The 21,653-nt window shown below is 39.3% G+C and overlaps 1 long non-coding RNA gene across 1 annotated transcript in view; it reads left to right on the forward strand.

Moving 5' to 3' along the window:
• LOC112268276 (uncharacterized) overlaps window positions 1-21,442 on the forward strand; it is a 175,024-nt gene extending 153,582 nt beyond the window's left edge. The window contains exons 2-3 of the long non-coding RNA XR_002958633.2: window positions 15,870-16,007; window positions 19,442-21,442. This is a non-coding gene — a long non-coding RNA (uncharacterized LOC112268276). The remainder of the gene's footprint in view (window positions 1-15,869; window positions 16,008-19,441) is intronic.
• The last annotated feature ends 211 nt before the right edge of the window (window positions 21,443-21,653 follow it).

Here is a 21,653-nt window from a genome sequence, read left to right on the forward strand (position 1 = left end):
TGCCCTTTTAATTTTTTCCTACTTTTAATTTTCCACCCTTTTTCTGCACTTTGTGGTTTTAATTGAACATTTTTTATAATTTTATATGAGCACTTATATGATTTTTTCTCCTTTCTTAGCATATTAATCATACTTCCTTTTACATTTTTTAGTGGTTGCCCTACAGTTTGCAATATGCATTTACAACAAATCAAATTTCACTTTCAAATGACATTGTATCGCTTCACAGGTTGTACAATACCTTACAATAATGAAAAATTGCTGGCTGAGCGCGGTGGCTCATGCCTGTAATCCCAGCACTTTGGGAGGCCGAGGCGGGTGGATCACGAGGTCAGGAGATCGAGACCATCCTGGCTAACACGTTGAAACCCCATCTCTACTAAAAATACAAAAAAAATTAGCCGGGCGTGGTGGCAGGTTCCTGTAGTCCCAGCTACTCGGGAGGCTGAGGCAGGAGAATGGCATGAACCCGGGAGTCAGAGCTTGCAGTGAGCCAAGATCGTGCCACTGCACTCTAGCCTGGGCGACAGAGTGAGACTCCATCTGAAAAAAGAAAAAAAAGAAAAAAGAAAAAAGAAAAAACAGAAAAAGAAAAGAAAAATTGCTGATTCTGCTCTTCCATGCCTTTTAGCATTGCTGTTCATTTCACTTATACATAAGCTATAGTCATCAAATACATTGTTGCAATTATTATTTTGATCAAACTATTATCTGTTAGATCAATTAAGAATATGAAAAAATAAAAGTTTTTATTTCACCTTCACTATTCCTTCTACAATACTCTTCATTTCTTTATGTAAATTCAAGTTTCTGACCTCTATCATTTTTCTTCTCTGTGAATAACTTCTTTTAACATTTCTTGCAAGACAGGTCTAATGGCCACAAATTTCCTCAGTTTTTGTCTGAGAAAGTCTTTATTTTTTCCTACCTTTGAAGGATAATTCCCTAAGATACAAAGTTCTAGGTTGCTGATTTTTTTTCTCTCAGCACTAAATGTTTTTCTTCATTTTCTCGCATACATGGTTTCTGATGGAAAGTTCAACATAATTCTTATCTATAGGTAAGGTATTTTTTTCTCTCTAGCTTCTTTCAAGATTTTTCTTCTTTATCTTTGATTTTCTGCAGATTAATTATGATATTATAGGTGAAGTTTGTTTATTTTTTTATTTTATTTTTTGATATTTATCCTGCTTGGTGTTCTGTGAGATTTCTGGGTCTGTGGTTTGGTGTCTGACATTAATTTGAAGAAATTTCCTGTCATTATTGCTTCAAATATTGCATCTGTTTCTTTCTCTTTTTCTTCTCCTTCTGGTATTCCCATTAAATGTTTTTTTTTAAACACATTTTATAGTTTTCTTACAGTTCTTGGATATTCAATTCCATTTTCAGCCTTTTTTCTGTTTGCTTTTCACTTTTGAAAGTTTCTGTTGGTGTGCCTGCAACCTCAGAGATTCTCTCCTCAGTTGTCTCCAGTCTAGTAATAAGCACATCAAAGGCATTCTTCATTTCTGTCACAGTGTTTTTGTTCTGTAGCATTTCTTTTTAAATTCTTTCTCAGAATTTCTGTCTCTCTGCTTACATTATCCATCTATTCATGATTCTACTTTTTTCATGTGAACCTTAGCATACTTACCACAAATTTTAAAATATTTCTCTTATGATAATTCCAACATTCCTGCCATGTCAGACTCTGGTTCTGATGCTTATTTAGTTTCTTCAAGTTGTGTTTTTGCCTTTTAGTATACCTTGTAATTTTTTGATAGTTGGTTATGATGTACAGGGTAAGGGAAATTACAGTAAATAGGCCTTTGGTAATATAGTGGTAAGGTGTGCGGGAAGGGAAGCATTTTATGGTCTTATGATTAGGTCTCAGTCTTTTAGAGGGCCTAGGCTCCTGGACTGTGAACTTCACAAATGCTTCTCAGATTTTCCCTGTCCTTTTGTGGGAAAGAATGGCTACAACGGGCTGGAGTTATGTATTTCCCTTTCCCCAGATCAGCTGGCTTCTAATTAAACCCTAATAGGTTAGGCTGTGGTAAATAGTATTTTTTTGAGGGCAGGCTTCACTAAGAACAGAATGCTCTGGCATATTTCAAAATGGCTATTTTCCTCCTTTCCCTGCCAGTAGAATGAGAGAATTTTTCCCCATGATCTTCACAGTGAGAACCTAGTAGAACTCTTAGAGGTGAAACTCACAAAATTGTCAGGATCCCACTGTGAATGGTCCCCACCTATCTCTGGAGTTTTATTTCTCAGATATGTCTACACTGGGCCTCCAGCAATTTGTCAGTTACAGTTCTGGTTTCCCTCCCCTGGCACTGGTTCCCAGAGAGGTTTCTCTTTGTGGATTTCTGCCCTGATAAGTTGTGATTTTCTATATTTGCCTATCTGCCTCTCCAATTTGGGGGGACAATGGTTTGCCTTGTGACCTTACTTTTTTGATTAATAAGACTTATTTTTGTTTGTTTTTTAGTTTATTAAGGCTTTTACTTGTTGTTAGGATGGAGTAATGACTCCTAAGCCCCTTATATGCCAGATCAGAAATCTAAGGTCCCCATTATTTTTTCATGTAATCCTCATCACAATCCTTTGAAGTAAATATTGTTAGCTCAGTTTCGAAGATTAAAAAAAATAGGCTGAGAAAAGTCACATGGCTTGGAAGGGGCAAAACTGGGATCAAACTCATATTTCACTTCCCCAAGGTAGCCATTCTCCTTCCAGAGTGCTGGCTGTTCCTACTTATACAGAGCCAGCTGTCCCTACTCATGCAAAGCCAGATGTCCCTATTCGTACGGCACTTTGCTCACCAGTGCTTCATTTGACCAGATTTGTGCTGGTGCTTACCTTGAAGCTCTTTAAATTAAAGCTTAGGTGTTTTAACCTGGTGTTGTAAATTGGTAGGTCTTCTGGGGAAATCCAGTTCCTGATCATTCAGTGAACTCTTGCCTAATTCTTTTTGAACCCATGACTTTTGCTTCTCCTTAGGCAAAGGAAAAGAATGAAAAATGAAATATACTCATTTTATTACTAATAGCTCCAGTAAAAAGATTTAGGATGGCATAATTTGAAAAGGAGAGCCAAAATATAGCCAAAGGAATACATGTAATTATCGTTAATTTGTGCAGAAAGGAAAAATGGACTTAGAGCCATAGGGCCAGAGTTTGAGTTGAGTCCTGGCTTCGTGCCTTGGTCTGCAAATGAGCCTGAGTCTCAGTTTCTTTATTACTAAATACTCTTTTATGTTTGCATCATGGTTCAGTTAAAAAGTACCCATCAACAGTTGTTGAATACGTTCATGCTCAAAGGAAGCTAAAAGGAATGATATAAAAGAAATATAATGATGCCTGTCTACTGGGTAGTTGTGGAGAATGAAAAACTATGTGCTTCTGAGGGTAGTTTTTAGCTTTCAGATTTTGTTTTAAAGTCACTTCTGACCTGCAAAACAGTTGAGGCATCCTCAGCTCACTCCCTCTATTTTTGGCTTCTAAATTCTGAGACTGATATTCCATTTCCTGATGTCTTTGGCTACTGCTCAGCTGACCACAGCTTTCTGTTGGTCCAGGAGACTATCTAATTCTATTTGGTTGCAAACTCTAGTTTTCATTTAGCGTCTTTCTGCAGAGCTCATCACTTCCCACCTGCAGACCCATCCTGACAAAATGCCTAGGGATCCCTTCCACATCTAATTTCATAATTCGCCTCATCTGGACCTGTTTCACCTTAGAGAAAGCCAATGCCAAAATAATGCCTTCCCAATGTCTCAGTATTAACCTATATAAAATAGATAATGCTTATGCTTCAGCACACAACAATGTAAGATCTCCCACCACCATCTCCAATGGCGGGTACAGAATGGCAGACTTGTTTGCATGGTCATTGTGAATACTTCACTCATCAGATTCAGCTCAGAAACAAAACACTGGAGTCTGCGCCTGCAGTGAGGTGTCTCAAGAATGTGGCAGAGGAGGTCAGCTTCTAAGAGACAAATCAAGGAGACTCAGCAAGCAGTAGAAGCACTTGATCAAGACGGTGGGGGGGCCCACCCTGAGAAGTGTTTTGTCCGTGTGCTGCTGATGAAGACTTAGGAAATATTCCATTGCAGCTAAGGGTGTGGCCTTAAGCCTGGATTTCACTGCAGCTAACACCTTTTTAGTAATTCTTTGGAAGGAGTGGTTTTGTTAAATGGTGAGGCTGCACTGGACCTGGGAAATGAAAATTGGGCTGTCAAATCCCACTAGAAGAAACCATGCTAGGGGCACCACATCTAGCAACTATGTGGATGTGGGCTTTCACAGAGGTTCTATTGTGGTATAGATTTCCTATAGCCTGAAGGAAGTGTACCTCAAGAACAGCGCTTCTCAACTGGGGATAATTTTGTTCCCCAGGGGACATTTGGTAATTAACTCTATTATTAGTTTCCTTGAAGAGTAAGTATTGGCCAGATTTCCTCTCACTCCTCTTCGGTTCCTAATACCCTAGTCTAAATGTGTGGGATGGTTAAATATCCATGTGATGTGGTTTGAATGTTCTTCCCCTCCAAATCTCATGTTGAAATGTGATCCCCAACGTTGGAGGTGGGCCTAGTAGGAGGTGTTTGGGTCATGCAGGTGGATCCCTCATGAATGTCTTGGTGCCCTCCCTGCAGTAGTGAGTGAATTCTCACTCCATGAGTTCATGCTGGTTGTTTAAAAGAGCCTGGCAATCTTTCTTGCTCCCTCTTTTTCCATGTGACATGCCTGCCTTCCCTGTGGCTTCTGCCATGGGTAAAAGCTTCCTGAAGCTTCACCAGAAGCTGAGCAGATGCTGGTGCCATGCTTGTACAGCCTGCAGAACCATGAGCCAAATAAAACTATTTTCTTTATAAACTACCCAGTCTCAGGTATTCCTTTATAACAACGCAAAGCAAACTAATACACCGTGGATCAGAAAGAAGCTATAAAACCCTATAGAAAGGAATGAACAAAGGATGACAGGGGTACAAAATGATGGAAAGGTGCTCTATAGAACAGTTTTCTTACTTTGATTCGTTCCTTCCATCTCCATCTCTTTCTTCCCTCAAACAGTTACTGAAGACCTACTATATGCCAAGCACTGTGCAGAGCACTGAGAATATAAGGATGAACGACACAATCCCTACACTTTAGGAAGTCACAGTCTAGTGGGAAAGACAGACTTATAAACCAGTAATTAGACCCTGTGGTAGTACTTCATTAGAAATACAAATAAAAGGTTTTGAGAGTGACTACTGAAGGAGTTCATATTAGTTTTCTATTGCTGCTGTAACACATTTTTGGATATTTAGTGGCTTAAAACAACACAAATCTATTTCCTTACAGTTCTGGAAGCCAAGCTCTGAAATTAGTTTCTCTAGGTTAAAGTCAAAGTGCCAGCAGGGCTGGTTCCTTCTGAAGGCACTAGAGGAGAATCTGTTTCTTTGCCTTTTTTAGCCTCTGGAAGACTACCTGTCTTCCTTGGCTCGTGACCCTTTCCTTGCACCCCTCCAGCCTCTTGCTTATGTCATCATATGCCTACTTCTCCCATAGTCATATATTCCCTTGTTCTCTCTTATAAGAAGTCTTTAATTACATTTAAGGCCCATCTGATCTAGGCTAATCTTCCCATCTCAAGATCCTCGACTCAAATCACATCAGCAAAGTCTCTTTTTAGCATAAAGGTGACATTCACAGGTACTGAAAATTAGCACCTCAATATCTTTAGGGGGCATCATCCAGCCAACTACAGAGTTATAGAATGAGGATAGGGCATTTGGGCTGTGTCTTGAGGGATGAGTACGAGTTTTTCTGGCAATTTTCTTCTTCTTCTTTTTTTTTTTTTTTGAGACGGAGTCTCGCTCTTTTGCCCAGGCTGGAGTGCACAGTGGCGTGATCTCGGCTCACTGCAACCTCTGCCTCCCGGGTTCAAGTGATTCTCCTGCTTCAGCCTCCCAAGTAGCTGGGATTACAGGCACGCACCACCAAGACCGGCTAATTTGTGTATTTTTAGTAGAAACGGGGTTTCACCATGTTGGCCAGGCTGGTCTTGATCTCCTGACCTCGTGATCCACCCGCCTTGGCCTCCCAAAGTGCTGGGATTACAGGCATGAGCCACCGCAGCCGGCTGGCAATTTTCTAGGCTGAGAGGATATGATCTTACCTGTTCAGAGATTTGTAAGATATTCAAAGTAACCCCATAGTTACTTTGTGCAGAAGTTGAAGCTGGTGAAAGTGGCAAGGCCAGGGCACAAAGAGCCTTGAGTGCCAGACCCTGAGGTTTGAATCTGGTTTTATTCACAACAGAGCTTATTATACAAGGAATGGAGTGAGCTGTTAATAAAGTCAAGTGGAGAGATGATGTGGCCTTAATAAGGGCAGAGGCATTGGCATTCATCGACTCTCCAATACCAAACCATGCTGAGTGTCCTTAACTCCCATCCTCATTTTTGTGTCCTGGTTTAGGCCACCTCATCTGAATGATTACTGAAGACTTCATAATCCTCCAATTTTGCTGCTATCCAATCAATTCCTCAAGCTGCAGCCAAAGTGATCATCTAAAACACAAGGCTGATCATGCCACTGCTTGCCTAGTCATGAATGACTCCCAGTTACCTTCAGGACATATATGACTCTCCAGCATCTGGGCCCTGCTCACCTCTCTAGCCTCACTAGTGTGCTTTTCTTGGTCATTGTTCCCAAATAAGTCATAGTACAGTACTTAGCCAGTTGCTGACTCAGAAGATCCCCATCTCAGGAGACTTTAAACCTTCATATGAGCCCAGGTCACCATTTCCAACTCCTTCTCCTTATGGGAGTGCTTTTTGTTCCCTTGGTGTCCTTGCTCATCAGTTTGACCTTGACCAGAATGACTCTAATTCACCCCAATGTGATCTAGTAATGTTCAATTTCAGGGGAAAGGGTGGTATCCTGGTCAGGGCTCTAAGATGGCCCTCAAGCCTCACCTTCCCCATGACTGTCCACCCTACCCTCGCCCAGATCAATTCCCTTATTATCCCTTCTCCTTGAGGGTGGCTGGACTCTGCAAATATGATGGGATAGCTCTCCCATGAGCAGGTTATGAACCAGTTGACTAAGTTAATCAAAAGGAAGAGTTTCTTGGAGGGGTCTGACTTCATTAGAGGAGGCTTTAAAAGAAGTCAGAGAGATAGTCCCCTGCTACCTTAAGGAGGAAGAATAGTTTCGAGTATGAGAGGCCCTGTGGGAAAGACAGGGACATGGAATGAAACTGCAGGTCACTACTAGAAGCTGAGAGCAGAGATTTAGCAAGAGAATTAGAGATTTAGCAAGAGAATGAGGACATTAGTCCTCCAACCTCAAGAAACTGAATTCTGTGAACAATCATGTGAGTTTGGAAGAGGACTTGGAACCCCAGAAAGGAATGCAGCCTGGCCAATACCTTGATTTCAGCCTCTTCACAGAGAACCTAGCTCAGTCATGTCTGGACTGCTAACCTACATGTAGAAACCATGAGATAGTCAACAGGAGTTGTTTTAAGCTAAATTTTGGGTAATTTTTTCTGTAGCAATTGAAAACTACTTATAGGTGGGGGTTATACGGGGTCCCTTCCCACCAACAGACCCCCATGCTTCTTATTAAGATTCATTCCCACCCAGAGCTCTGCACACCAAGAGGACCTAGGAGAGACATCAAGCCCCAAAGACATTTTCATTGCTTCCTCCTGGTTTTAGAGTTACATAATCAAGAGGGGTGATTCCAGAAGAGATTTTTCTGTAATACAGTTCTGTGTGGAAAGGACATGCTGGCTCCACCTACACGGAGAAGCAATGCTGAGTTGCTGAATTTAGGAAAAATCAAGTTCTTCCTCACCAAACATTGTATCATATATGGCTAAGAGTGAGGTAAAGAGTAGCAGAAACTCTTGGGAAGATGGTTTTAAGTGGTTTGCAAAGCTGGTCCCCAGACAACGGCAGCAGCTGGGAACTTGTCAGAAATGTGAATTCTCTGGCCCCTTCCCAGAGCTCCTGAATCAGAAACGGTGTTTTAAATAGCCCTCCAGGTGATTCTGAGATACAATAAACTTTGAAATCACTGACTTAGACAAATAATAGTCGGCAATGCAAATGATGTATAGCAGTATTTTCTAAGTGAATCCCACTAAAAAATAACACAGTAACAAGGGATGCAGAACCCATACAAGGCTCAAACTTGCTCACACTGTCCACAGTTGTGATCAGCTACCCTCAGGCTCTCACAGGCTCTGGTGACATGAAGGTCAGAGAACCTGTGATGTTAGCTGTCAGGGTCACTTTGGGATTTATTTAATCCCAGCCTAATCCCATCCTCATGATGCCTGCCTGCCACATCGTTGATATTTGATAAATACTTGTGGAATGCATGATAAGGTGGGACTTAAAAAAAACCATCCCTTGTTTCGGCCCTGGAGTTGGAGTCTTATTCCCAGGTCCACTCAAGGATAAATCCACCCTCATTAAAGAGAGAGGAGAATTCTCTAATCTGGAGAGGTATGGTACATAGTGGATGGTATGTTGGCATGGGGAAAGGAGCCATGGAGCAGAGGAAAGTACCATTCAAGAGCCTGCAGAGTCCACCTCTGCCACCTCCAGCCCCAATTTAGCAGCTGTGTTCAGGCTTCTGGAACGGATCTAGCACCTATGCTCGTCTCAGTCAAAACCCTTGACACCCCCTATAGGGAGCCTAGGACAAGAAACTTCATATTGGCATAAAAGAGAAAACACTCTGCATTAATGCGCACGACAACAAATGGACAGTTTAATGACCGTTTCTGGGCAGTAAAGGCTGCCCTGGGGCAAACTGGTACTAGCCCACATTCCAAGAACACAAGGTACTTTTTCAGCCTGGTCAACCAGATTGTAATTCCTTCTGTACCACGCATTATTATGTGATTCTTGTTCAGATGATTAAAAGAGTTTGTTTGCCACTTCCAAGAACCCCTCTTGCAATTTAAATGATTCATGCACCCCAGTTTTACAAAAAGGAAAGCAACCTCATTGTTATTTGCTCTGTTAAAGCCCTCAAGTGTTCAGCTTATTATTTTGTTACCTGGTAATGAGGGGTGGGGGTGCTCTTATTTCTAATTCTCTAATCTTTTCATGGGGGAATTCTTATGGGATAATAAAAATTCCTTATTTCATTAACAAAGAAAAAGCTGCAGTTCTCATCTTTTCTCCTTTTTTGGGAGGGTGGGAAGGGGTGATACTTGCTGTCACATGCTAGTATTATTCTCTGCCACCTAGCAAGTTCAGAAGAAGAGCTGAGCAAAAAAGAAGTCAGAGTGATAAGAATATTCCTTTCTTATCTCTGCACCAGAACAATAACACACTTGTGGTGGAGACTGCGAGTTCTCCCCCAGCATCCCTCCCCTTCTTCTTCTTTTCCTTTTTACAGATTCCTCAAGTTTTACCTGCACTGTGCTTATATTTAGGTACAGAAAAATTCCATCATCACAAGAAACCCTCAAGTTGCCCTTTTATAACCACATCCACCTCCCCACTGTCTCCCTAATCCCTGGAAAGCACTGATCTATTTCCCATTTCTTTAATTTTGCCATTTCAAGGTGTTATGTTAAATGGAATTATGCAGTATGTAACCTTTTGGGTTTTTTTTTTTTTTTTTAACTCAGCATAATTCCCTTGAGATTCATCTAAGTTGTGGCATGTATGAATAATTCCTTTTTTATTGTTGAGCAGTCTTCTGCAGTATGGGTGTACCACAGTTTATTTAAAGATTCAGTCTTTGGAGAATATCCAGTTGTTTCCAGTTTGAAGCTAGAAACATTTGTGTACAGATTTTTGAGGAACATAACTATTCATTTATTTGGGACAAATGCCCGAGTGTGCAACTTCTGGGTTGTATGATTGTTGCATGTTTATATATAGTTGTTTATGATAATTATTATGTTTAGTTTTCTAAGAAACTCACAAATTGTTTTCCAGAGTAGACTTACCATTTTATATTGCTACTAGTAATATATGTGTAGTCCAATTTCTCTATATCCTCACTAGCATTTGGTATTTCTGCTATTTCTTGTTTTAGTCATTTAGATAAGTATGTAGTGATAACTCCTTGTGGTTTTAATTTTCATTTTCTTAATGGGAAATGATGTGGAAAATTTTTCATGTGCTTATTTGCCATCTGTATAGCCTTTTCAGTGAAATACCTGTTTATGTCTTTTGCCCATTTTCTAATTAGATTGCTCATTTTGGAGACAATGAAAAATGATTTCTTGAGTTTCAAGAGCTCTTTATATGCTCCAGATACTGGTCCTTTGTAGGATATGTGGTTGCAGTCCTTCTTTCTTTCTATAGCTTAACTATTTGGATTTATGCTGAGCACGTAACTGTCTAGCTAGGGACTACTCTTCTTAACTTTCCTTGCCGCTAAGTATAGCCATGTGGCAAATTTCAGGCCAAGGAGATGAGAGTAGAAATGATACATGCAAAGTCTGATCATGTCTAATGAAAACAAAGGCCACTTGCTCTGAACATCTGTCCTCTACCCATTCTGGGAACATAGACCTTGCAGCCACCCAGAGTCAACCAGGCAGATGGGGATACTGCCTTAGAGTAGGGGTCAGCTGTTAGTAAGTAGTAAAATAGTAAATACTTTAGGCTTGTGGGCCATATGGTCTCTGTAGAAATTAGTCTTTTTATGAACTTTGTCATTTTAGCACAAAAGCAGCCTTGAGCAATATATAAACAAATGAGCATGGCTGTGTTTATATACAACTTTATTTACCAAAACAGGTGGTCCACTCATGGGATATAGTTTGCTAACCTCCTAAGGCAAAGCCACAAGAGAACAAGAGCTGCATTCCTGAATGGTCACATGGAGTGGAGCTATTCCATCAGCCTGGATAGCTACTCTCCAGGCTAATTCGTGAAAAAGAAATTAACTTCTGTTTTTGTAAGTCACTTTATTTTAGAGGCTCTTTGTTGTAGCAGCTCAGCCTTTGCCTATATAGTATAAAAATTGGCATTTACTGGGTACTTACTGTGCCCACTGTGAAAAGATGATTCAAAGGTAAATTTCATATGCTCCCTGCCCAGAGAGAGCTTGCGGTTGACTCTGAGAGAAAGATCCCAGTACAGTGAGATGGAGCTGTAACCAAGCTATAAAGAAAGAGAAGGAAAGAAACACTTTACTGAGTGCCTAATATATTGCAGGCATTTTATTGTTATATCTCTGAAGGCTCAGGGAAGTCTATGAAGTATGTTATTATATTTCCATTTTAGAAATTTTAAAAACCCATGAGTCTCTGTAAAGTTATTTAACTTTCCCAGTGGCATAGATAAATTTGAACCCTTGAAAAGTATTAACCAAGGATTTATTCATTGCTGATATTCAGAGCCTGACCTGAGTCCTCTCTCTCTGGAGCACAGTGGGCCCTTTGCTTCCTCCCGCAGTCCTCCCTGCTGGGTAGCGCCTCCATCACCATAGTCAACCCAAGAAAGCTCAACAAGCAGTTGCCAAGCAGCTTCTACCTGCCCAGATCCCAAAGCAGGTCCAGAAAGGCCAGAGGAATGAAGGAAAGGATTGAACTTTTAAAAGAACATAGCTTTAGACAATGTGGTTTAAAAATCCCCTGATCTTTTTGTGTCTTGGGATTGACCAACCACAAAGGACCGCACTGCTCTTGTATAATATATTCTGAAATAAGTTTTCTCAAGACTTTCATAAGACTTGTGATGATCCCTCAATTACTTGCCTATATAAAATTTCAAGTCCCCTTCCTTTTCCTTGAAGCATTACTCATTAATGGACTTTCTCCCTATTGGAATAACCTGAATAAAATAATCTCCTTCATTGTCTGGTGCTTTTTATGTTACATAACTTTCATGATGAATTAAATAGGATTAGACTTCACCTTTGAATCCTCATTTACTCCATCTAGATAGTGAAGCTTCTCAGAGCCCTGTTTGTTCCCTCCTTACTCATGACTTGGGGACCCAATGGTGGGCCCAACTCCTGGTCCTGTGCTCTGGACCTCGGTCTTTTGGTAGCACAGTAAGTATTTGACTTTGATTCTTTTCAAGTACTTGATTTCTGGTACTGGCTTCTCTTGGCTTTATGGGCTGACAAATCGGTATTCTCTGTAAACAGATTAATGTAAATATAATAGGTGTAATGTAATGTAAACGGATCTTTTCTCTGTTGGATAAAAGATGACAAAGAATATGGTTTGTTAGTCTTTTCTGTTTGTCTGTTTTTCTGTTTTCAATTCAAATCAATTAAAAACTTGTATCCACTGGGAGGAGAACAGGTCTTTGATATAAACTGGTAAGGTTTGCATTTTTGCATATGTGTTTGACCTATGACTAACATTTTAGACTTGAAGCTATAAGTTTTCTCTGTGCGTGTGTGTCTGTGTGTTTATATGTCTGGAATTTGGAAAGGCCTTTACCTTTCATTGTGTGAGTTTGTGATATTATCCTACATCTGGACGCTATCACCAAATTAGATGATAAAATACTTAAAGGAGTTCTGTTCTCATTGACTTAGAGGTAAATAAGTGCTTATATAAATTTAATATTCCTAGAATTTCCAGAAATTAAGGAAATTAAAGCTTAAACTGTTTCAATGTGGAAAAAAGAGGTATTGCTATATTAACTAGCTCAGAAATGTTCTGTGAGTTCAAGTTCACATAATTCAAGTAAATATTTGGCAAACAAAACCGATCTAATAATTTTGGTTCAATAAAAACAGCTATACTTTCTCTGAGTTATTAGCATTAAGTATAACAGAAGCACACACTTTTATTCTACTTGGGGGTAGTCTCTCTAAACTTATTATAGGTTCACTAATCAAATAAGCTAGGATTACTTTGACTTAATGTTGAAGATTATGAAAAATGTAAGTTTGTATTTAACCAAATAGAATCCTTATCTGAAGACTTTATTTCAACAGTAAGTATGTTTTGCAGTATGTTATCTTGAAAATAATTCCCAAGGTCTTTAGGTAAATTAAAATCTTGAATTTCTGCTAAATTGAATTAGACATCATTTCTAAGTAAGATTGAGTATTGTAATATTAATTATTAACCGTAATTTTAAGTTTATATATGTTTGCCTCTAATTTTTCTATGCTGCAGAAAGGCTATGTATTTTGGGTGTGTTAATGAATGTTTTCACTTTTGCCATTTTGAGACATTATAAGAGATGTATATGGTTACAGAAAGTGTAAGCTCTGCTAACCTGCTGCAAAGTGCTGGTGTGTGACAGTTCACAGTTACCTACCTCCTAATTTTCTCTCTGGAATAGAGGTTACTGTGGTTAAAAGTTATTATCAATATATATGGATGAGATCCACTAGGAGCAATAGTGGCAAATGAATAACTATATATGCAAGATAGGCAGGATATGTTTTTTGTTAATGAAAACAGAGAGTAGTTTTGTCTTAAACTAAAATGACTACTTATTGCAGAGTGAGAAAGAGGAAAGAGTAGGACCAAACCTGAATGGATAAAAACACTTATAGAAGGTACATGGGAAAAAAATTTCATCTATTGTTGTCACAGCTAGCTAAGATTTGACGGGTTTGTTTATAAGATGTCAGAAAGAGCTTCAGTATTCTATATTATGCTGATGCAAAGCAAAAATTTGTTTTTAATCTTTGCTAAAGTGACAAAATTTCCTTGGATCATTGGTCTGCTCATAATGTAAGGCTATAAAATGTTATTCTTTACCTTCTGTGTAATCTGCCTAGATAGCAAAGATTCTGTGTCTTAACAGAATAAGCTTTTATGGTTTACGTTGATTTTATTATATCCTTGATGATTTAAGTAAACAAAGCCTTCTCATTTAGAAAAGAGCTAAGATTATTTACAATCATGCTACCTTCTGGGTTTATTTTTAAATGTTTTATTGTCACTATGAAATGAGAAGTAAAATATCTCTCAGACACCCATGATTCAATTCCTATCTTAGGTGTTCAAATCTCCTAACAACTTTTGATTTTTGCCTTTATAAAATTGATTCCTAAGTGATGTCTTTTGCACCTAAATATGTTTTTGAGATTTCCTAGGGGGACCCTAGAAAATCACAAAGGATTTGTTCTTTTACCTTATAAAAAGAGAGAAACTAGAAATAATGAGGTTGTGATACTTTACCATTGATGAATTTCAAAGCATTGCCAAGTCAGAAGGGATGCAGATGCTTAACCTTTTCTAGGATAAATCTGTGTAGGTAACATTATTAATACAAATATTTCAGAATCATATGCTGTATGGGTAGTTCCTGGATATTTGTCAGTTCTCTCACTGTCTATGATATAGTCCTGGTGCTGCTTTGCCTGATATCAAACAAAAACAGTATAGTCATAACTCAGTTATTTTTAAAGATGTGAACTGCATTGCAATTTACTTGTTTAAATTGAATCTAACATCATTTAGGCTCATGGTTTTCAAGTGAATTTTTTTTTAATCTATGAAGTTTTATTAATATCATTTACCTGTGGAGTTTTATTTGATATACAGATGTTTAAGACCTATTGTAGGCTTGCAGAATCTCTTCACTTGGTATTTCTGATATATTCTTGGTATTTTTAAACTATATACCTGGTATCTTCATGGTATATTATATCTCAGGATTACAGTAAATCCGAAGATTTTTTTGGTAAAGATAATGTTCATCCATTTTTATAAATTAGATATAATATCCACTTTTCTTTGAAAATAGGGTTAATTATTATATTCATAGATATTTTGTCTAAACTTTTTTTTGGATTGACTTTTATCTTGTTTTACACAGACACAAATTCCCTTTGTAGTTGCATTATTCTTGTAGAAACTTTCATGGGATCTCTCATCTTTAAAAATTGCAGGTAAATAATAGATGTGCCAACTCTGTCTTGTCTGGTAGAGATTTAACTGGTTTTCTTCTTAACCCCTGAACAAAACTGGACTGATCTGTCACCTTGACCATATTGTCCATTTTTACTAAATTTTCTTTCTTTTTTTTTTTTTTTTTTGAGACAGAGTCTCGCTCTGTCACCTAGGCTGGAGTGCAGTGGTGTGATCTCAGCTCACTGAAAGCTCTGCCTCCCGGGTTCACGCCATTCTCCTGCCTCAGCCTCCCAAGTAGCTGGGACTACAGGCACACACCACCATGCCCAGCTTATTTTTGTATTTTTAGTAGAGACAGGCTTTCACCATGGTCTCGATCTCCTGACCTCGTGATCTGCCTGCCTCAGCCTCCCAAAGTGCTGGGATTACAGGCGTGAGCCACCATTCCCCGCCTCCATTTTTACCAAATTTTTAATCCTTTCAATTTTCTTCAATACCTGGCTACAATCCTCCAAACTATTTCCATTTTTCTCCCTCCCACCTGGCTCAGCATCACTGGGAACTAAAAACCTGACTGATCAGATCTCTATCATTACTTTAGGTTACCTTAAAGCTGGCTCTTTTCCCTAGGATCTGAAGAAATCTTGCAAGCTGAAGCCTGACAGTTTGGTGCAAACCTCCGAGGGCTCACCACTTCAGTAGAACATGCGTAAGGAAGAGTTCTCTCTAGACAAATTGTATCTGGACAAATAAGAAGGTCCAGTGATCTGCTTAGGCCATATATATGCTTTTATAAGAGGGAACCAAGACAAGGATGATGTCACCAACAGCATCGACATCCAAGCTTTGGAGCTTGAAGAAACTCAAAGAGTGATGCTCGATAACTGAGAGAGTTTCCTCCACAAACGTCTTGGACTCATTGGACTCATTAACCTTCAGATTCAACTCCCAGCTCTTTCCTTCAATACCAGTTTTCATATTAATGCTTCCCTTTTTCATTTTAGGCATTCCCCTTTCAAGAAGCCGATCTCCAGACCCTAAAACAACTGATCTTTCCCATTGACTCTCCACAGATGGTTCAGGTGGTTTTACAGGAACAACACTAACAAAGTCCTCTGGAGACCCTTTCTTGGATCCCGCTCCACCTTCTCAGGAGGTTTATGATCACCTCGGAGTTGTTCAGCAATGAGACACTTGCCTTGAACAAAAAGGTGACTGACAATGTTGAACTTTTCCTGAGTCTTGTGCTCCCTGAAAGTTGCAACAATTATGAAATCCCCCACCCCACTCCTTTGTGTCCCAGGAGGCTAACTACAGAGGACCACCCTGCCCTTGCATATTCCAAGACAGACTCATCTCCATCCTTGCGCGTGACTCCCGTAGGACTCGCAGATGGCTCCGTTAGTGACCTGCTTGCATAAAACCCTCGGTCCCCTTCCTTTTCTTTGAGGAAGTTCTCATTAACGATCATTCTCCTTATAATAGCCTGAATAAAATCATATATTTAATTGTCTGGTGCATGTTATCTTTCTTCTCATTTTTATGGCTGAGTCTTCTCACTTTTTTCCTCTCCCAGCCTTGGTTTCCTCATCTTATAAAGACTATTACTTCCACCTCTAAGTGGTGTGAGAATTAAATGAGATAATGATGGGAAAGAACCAACTTAGGCTAATACTAAGTGCTCAGTAAGTAGTATTCTCTCTCCTTAGAGGAAAACAACCTTCATGCAATAGGTGATGGGAGTGGGAACTAGTTTAAAGGGAAGGGATACATCAGTGTAACTTTGTCTCCAAAAAGGGGAAAACAATTAAGAGCAGGTGACCTTACACTGAAGTAAACAGCACGGGGCAGGATGGTCATTTCATATGCAGCAGAAAACTGTGTCTCCAATGCACCCCTTACTTTCCTCTCGGGAGGTCCTGGAGACTCTCTGGCAGGTGAGAGTGCCAAATGTATTGACTCTGTTCAGATCTTGGGTCAGAACAACACAGGCCTGGGGACAGGTTAAAAATGAAATTTCTCACAGTGCTATACAAGGTTTTCCATAATTCTCCAGCTCTTCCTGAAGCCTTCTCCAGGGCGGCTGGCTGGAACTGTGTTTCTAAACATACTTCAAAATCACTGGAAAAATGAAAAGCTAAAGAAACGATGCACACTACATGGAAGTTTACAAGTGAAAGAACAAAGTCACCACTTGACAATTCAATTGGAATGTCAAATTGCAGCAGTTAGCATTCATGAAATACTAGTTTTAGATACACAAATGCAAAGTAATCAGAAAAACATTTGCTCCTGAAAAGTGATCGCTGTGGTGCTTTGCATTAAGCTGTAATCACCCTGAAGGTAAAATGAGCAAATTCTCAAGACCTGGAGATTTTAACCTCTGAGAAAGTAAGACTGTGTTTGGGGACTTTGACAAAATTTGGCTAGCCAATTTGCTGCTTTCTCTAACCTACCACTCTGTGCTCTTCTGTGATGTGTATTTTTTTTCATATTTACAATTCTTTCCTCCCTGCCATCACCTTTTAAAATTTAATTCTGACCCCTATCAAGACCTAATTATTCAGAATGCACAGTAGGCACAGTGCCTAGGGCCCACAAAGCTTTTAATTTCTTTTAAAATCAGAAGAAGAAGAAAATTGGCTAATGGGTACAAAAATACAGTTAAATAGAAGGAATTAGTTCTAGTGTTAAATAGCCTAGTAGGGTGACTATAGTTATTAATAATTTCTTGTATATTTCAAAATAGCTAGAGGAGAGGATTTGGAATGTGCGCAACACAAAAAAATGATAAATACTTGAGGTGATGGATATTGTAGTTATCCTGATTTAATCATTATACATTGTATGCATGTATCAAAATATCATGTGTGCCCCATAAATATGTAAAATTATTATGCATCAATAAAAACACACAAAAATCTCAAAAGCAGCAAAAAATTGTGACATCATATACAGGGGAACAACAATTTAAAAAAAGAAAAAAATAAATGTTTAGGTCAAAAAGTGTAATATACAATATTAATAATCTTTATATGAACACGTTAAATATAATTTAAGATATTTTCTATGGAGGAAGCAGCCCACGAAAGCCAATGGTCCTAGGGTCCAGGACCATCATAGTGCAGCCCTGAGCAGCCAGATTTGTTTGCAAGTCTTTTTAAATGCTTAGGGACACAGAAACTAAAGGGTTATACTTATTTTGCCCTTTGGTGAAGCCAGCCCAAAGCCAACTTCCTAGGCCACCAGCCTCTGGGTTTGTGACACCTGCCATTTAGAAGTAGCATCATGCACTTGTGGACTTCAGAAAGGTTTCTCTCCTGGCTCCATGTGAGGGCTTTTGGCCCAGCAGCCTCATTCCAAGGCTATTGGAAACTGGCAACTTGCTGGTAGTGGTGATCCCTGGACGCCCTGATTTAGATATTATAGAGAGACCAGAGTTATGACTGAACTACAAAACAAAAATCAAGACATGTCCTCTGCCATGGGATTTTCTCCCTCCATTTCCATGGATATAAATTTTAAAATTTATGTAATACAAATCTTAAAAGACATTGAATCATATAATTAACTAACGGCTCTATTACAATGATAAAATGATATGAAAATTAATACCAAAACTGGCAAGTAGAGCCTATCTCATAATCCAATGTTTGAATATTTATTACCTAAGTGGCCCAGAAGGTCTAGGACCCTGACACACAGTAGGTATCAATCTTCTTTCCTTGTGAGAGCAGTGCCAGATATTGTACAGAGAGCCCTGTTTCTCTTCCCTATGTTTTATCAAGGAGCGCATTTAACCTTTTCCAATAACAATGACAACCATTTTTGGGTTCCTATTATATGTCATACCCTTTTCATATATTCAAACTTGACCATCACAAAAACTCTGCAGGGTAAATATTAAAATTCTCATTCATAGACCAGAAAAATTGCTTAATTTGTCAATGACATGGAACTAGAAGTGCTGCAGCAACTTCTAATTCTGCTCGCCTGACTGGAAGGGCCTTGGATCTCAGATGTTTATCAGTAGCTGCAAATCACTGGGATATTCTGAATTCAGAATGGAAATGAGCATTCCAGAGAGAGGAGGCATGAGTTTTGACTGTGGTTCTCCTGCTGTCCCCTCACTGAGAAGGCCGATCAAAGCCCTCTCCTTTACAAATGGCTTCCTCAGGCCTTCTGCAACTTTTTTCTCAGGTCAAGTCCATCCTAGCCTCCAAGGTTTGGTTCCTATGGCTTTCCTGCCTCAAGTGCCCTTTCCAGGCCTCTCTCTTTAGCTTCTGAGTCCAGCTCAAACCTCCACCACTTCCCAGACAGTCTTCCATGATGACCCCAGCCCACACTGGCTTTTCCCTTTTCCACATCCTTGCTATACTTTTGGTGGTGGAAGACTATGCTTTGTATCATGCCGGAAGGAAGATCAAATCCATGTCCTCTGAGGTTCCAGTTCTCAGACACAGATTCACACAGAGAGTGAGATCCAAACAAATTTCTGATTGTCATTCTCCCATTTTTGACACCTGAACTGAAGCCAGGTTTCCACCCCTGAAGAGGCCTATAGATATTTATCAGCCGATAGTCCCACCATCCTGAGAAACAATGCAGCTGTTCTTAGAGATCTTGTTTCCTTTTTTCTCTCTAGGTTTCAAGGACGTAGAAGAGCTCCTTTTGAAAACTATGTTGCAGCCTGGAGGAGAAAGGTGGTACACTTGGTATAGGCCGGTTGGTCCCCTGAACTTCTCCTAGAGACTCTTCCTGGCAGAGCCTGAATGTAAGGAAACTGTCAGCCATCAAAAAAGGCAGTGAAGTCAATTAAAAATCAAGTGTAAACTCATGCCTTCTCTGGTTCTTCTCATGCATGCTATTTACATCTTACCACCTGCACTGTAAACTCCAAGTGGGCAGGGATGGGCCCTACATTTGTTCGGTGTCACAGGCTGCCTCTCTTTCACTTCTCTGTGTTCAATATGTATTTAGTATTTTATTCAATGAATGGAAAGATGAAATTATTTTTATATTTTCTGTAGTACGAACTCAGGAGTATACCTTCTCCTAGGTCTGAAAAGCAGACAGACAAAATGTGGCTTAAATAATAAAACCTATTCCTAGCTGGTCTAGTCGCGCTAATCCAGAGATGAGCACCCATTGGAGGCTAAGAAGGTTGGCCACACGGCATTCCTTTGCGCACCTTTGGATTGCTGCCTCCTTGAGCCCGCAAATCTCTGCTCTGCGATAATCCTACTCTCTTTATTGGAGCTGATGGCAACTCTAAGAAAAAAATGGTTAACACTCCTGAAGATTAAATTCTCTCACGAAGAAAAAATACTCTGGGTGCTAATAACGTGAAAAAAAAGCAGAGGACATTCTCAGAAATGTTCCCACCTGTTCCCAACCAGGCTGTCTGTTTTTATATGCTTTCAGTCCTCTCCTTCTGATCATTAATGAGGTTATTAAGATGGACTGATCTCCTCCTGTTCAGGCCTGCATGGAGACTTTGCTACCTTGCAGTAATTTCTGTTCCGTGGAGCCCCAAATAAGCTTAGGGCACATAGCAAATTAGATTTCAGGAGACAATGGATCTTAGAAGCAACAAAATCCAAATAAATGATATTTACTGCCCTTGAGAAAGGACACTGCATTCTTCCTCATATGTAGCTGTGCTTCCTTCAATCTATTTCAGGGTGGCTTAGTGCAGGGGGAGGGATAAAAAATGGGGTAGGCACCCTTCTATTTAAGGGTGGGGCAGCTTGCTGCGCCATCTCTCAGTTACTGAGTTGGTAATTGGCTGGCCACAGGCCTCAGACTTCCCATTTTTCCTTATACCCTCCTGCTCTTCTAGGTCACGTCTCCTCATTTCTGTAGCTCCTTGGTGTCAGTAGTCAATGACATTGTATTACAGTCAGAACAGAATGGGCTTAATTTACAGACCCACAGAGCTGACCAACTGGCACATCTCAAGCCTATACAGAACAAAATTTTAAATCCTTAAGAATCAGAGATTCTTGAATTGTGGTGGTTGGGGAGGGGTATGGTGGGTAAACAGTTCTGAGCCAACCTGCTTAGAACTCAAATCCCACAGTCAGCTCTCATATAATTTTCCCTCTTTTAAATATTTAGTCATTTATTTTTGAGTAAATAATATATGAGCATGGTACAAAGGTAAGAATGTTCAAAAAGGCTGATGGTAAATGGTAGGACGGTCTCTCATTCTTGCACTTGCCACTTGGTTTCTTTCTCCAAAGGCAATTGCTAGTATAAGGTTCTTGTGTGTCCTGATACTCATGTACACTATGCACATGCAAAAACATGTGTATATGTTTGTTATTGCTTAAAAAACCAAATGTTGGAAATCTGAACTAACTCTTTCACACTCTGGTATTTTTAGTTTAACAATATATGTGTTGTGTCTTGGAAATTAGTTCATATCAATTCATATTGAGCTGTCTCATTCTTTTTTTAATGGTCATATACAGTAGTATTCAATTATAAGAATATATCCTAATACTTTTTAAAAATTTCTCATTGATAGTTCTTTACATAGCTTCCAAAGGATTGTTTTTACAAACAAAGCTTTAATGAATAAGGTGTACATCATTGACATGTTTGCTGTCATATATGCAGAATAAAGTACCAAAAGTAAAAATTGCTGAGTCAAAGGATCTATGTCTTTATAATTTTGATAGATATTGCCAGGTTGCTTTTAATACAGATTTTACCAATTTACATTACCACCAGCTATGCAAGATGAATGTCTGTCTCTCTACATTGTTGCCAACATGTTTCAAAATATTTTGATCTTATATTGTCTAATTGATTTAAAAAGAGATAACAGATTTAATTTTCATTTGTTTTAT

Source organism: Homo sapiens, chromosome 1 (assembly GCF_000001405.40).
Source record: "Homo sapiens chromosome 1, GRCh38.p14 Primary Assembly".
NCBI classification, from domain to species: Eukaryota; Metazoa; Chordata; class Mammalia; order Primates; family Hominidae; genus Homo; species Homo sapiens.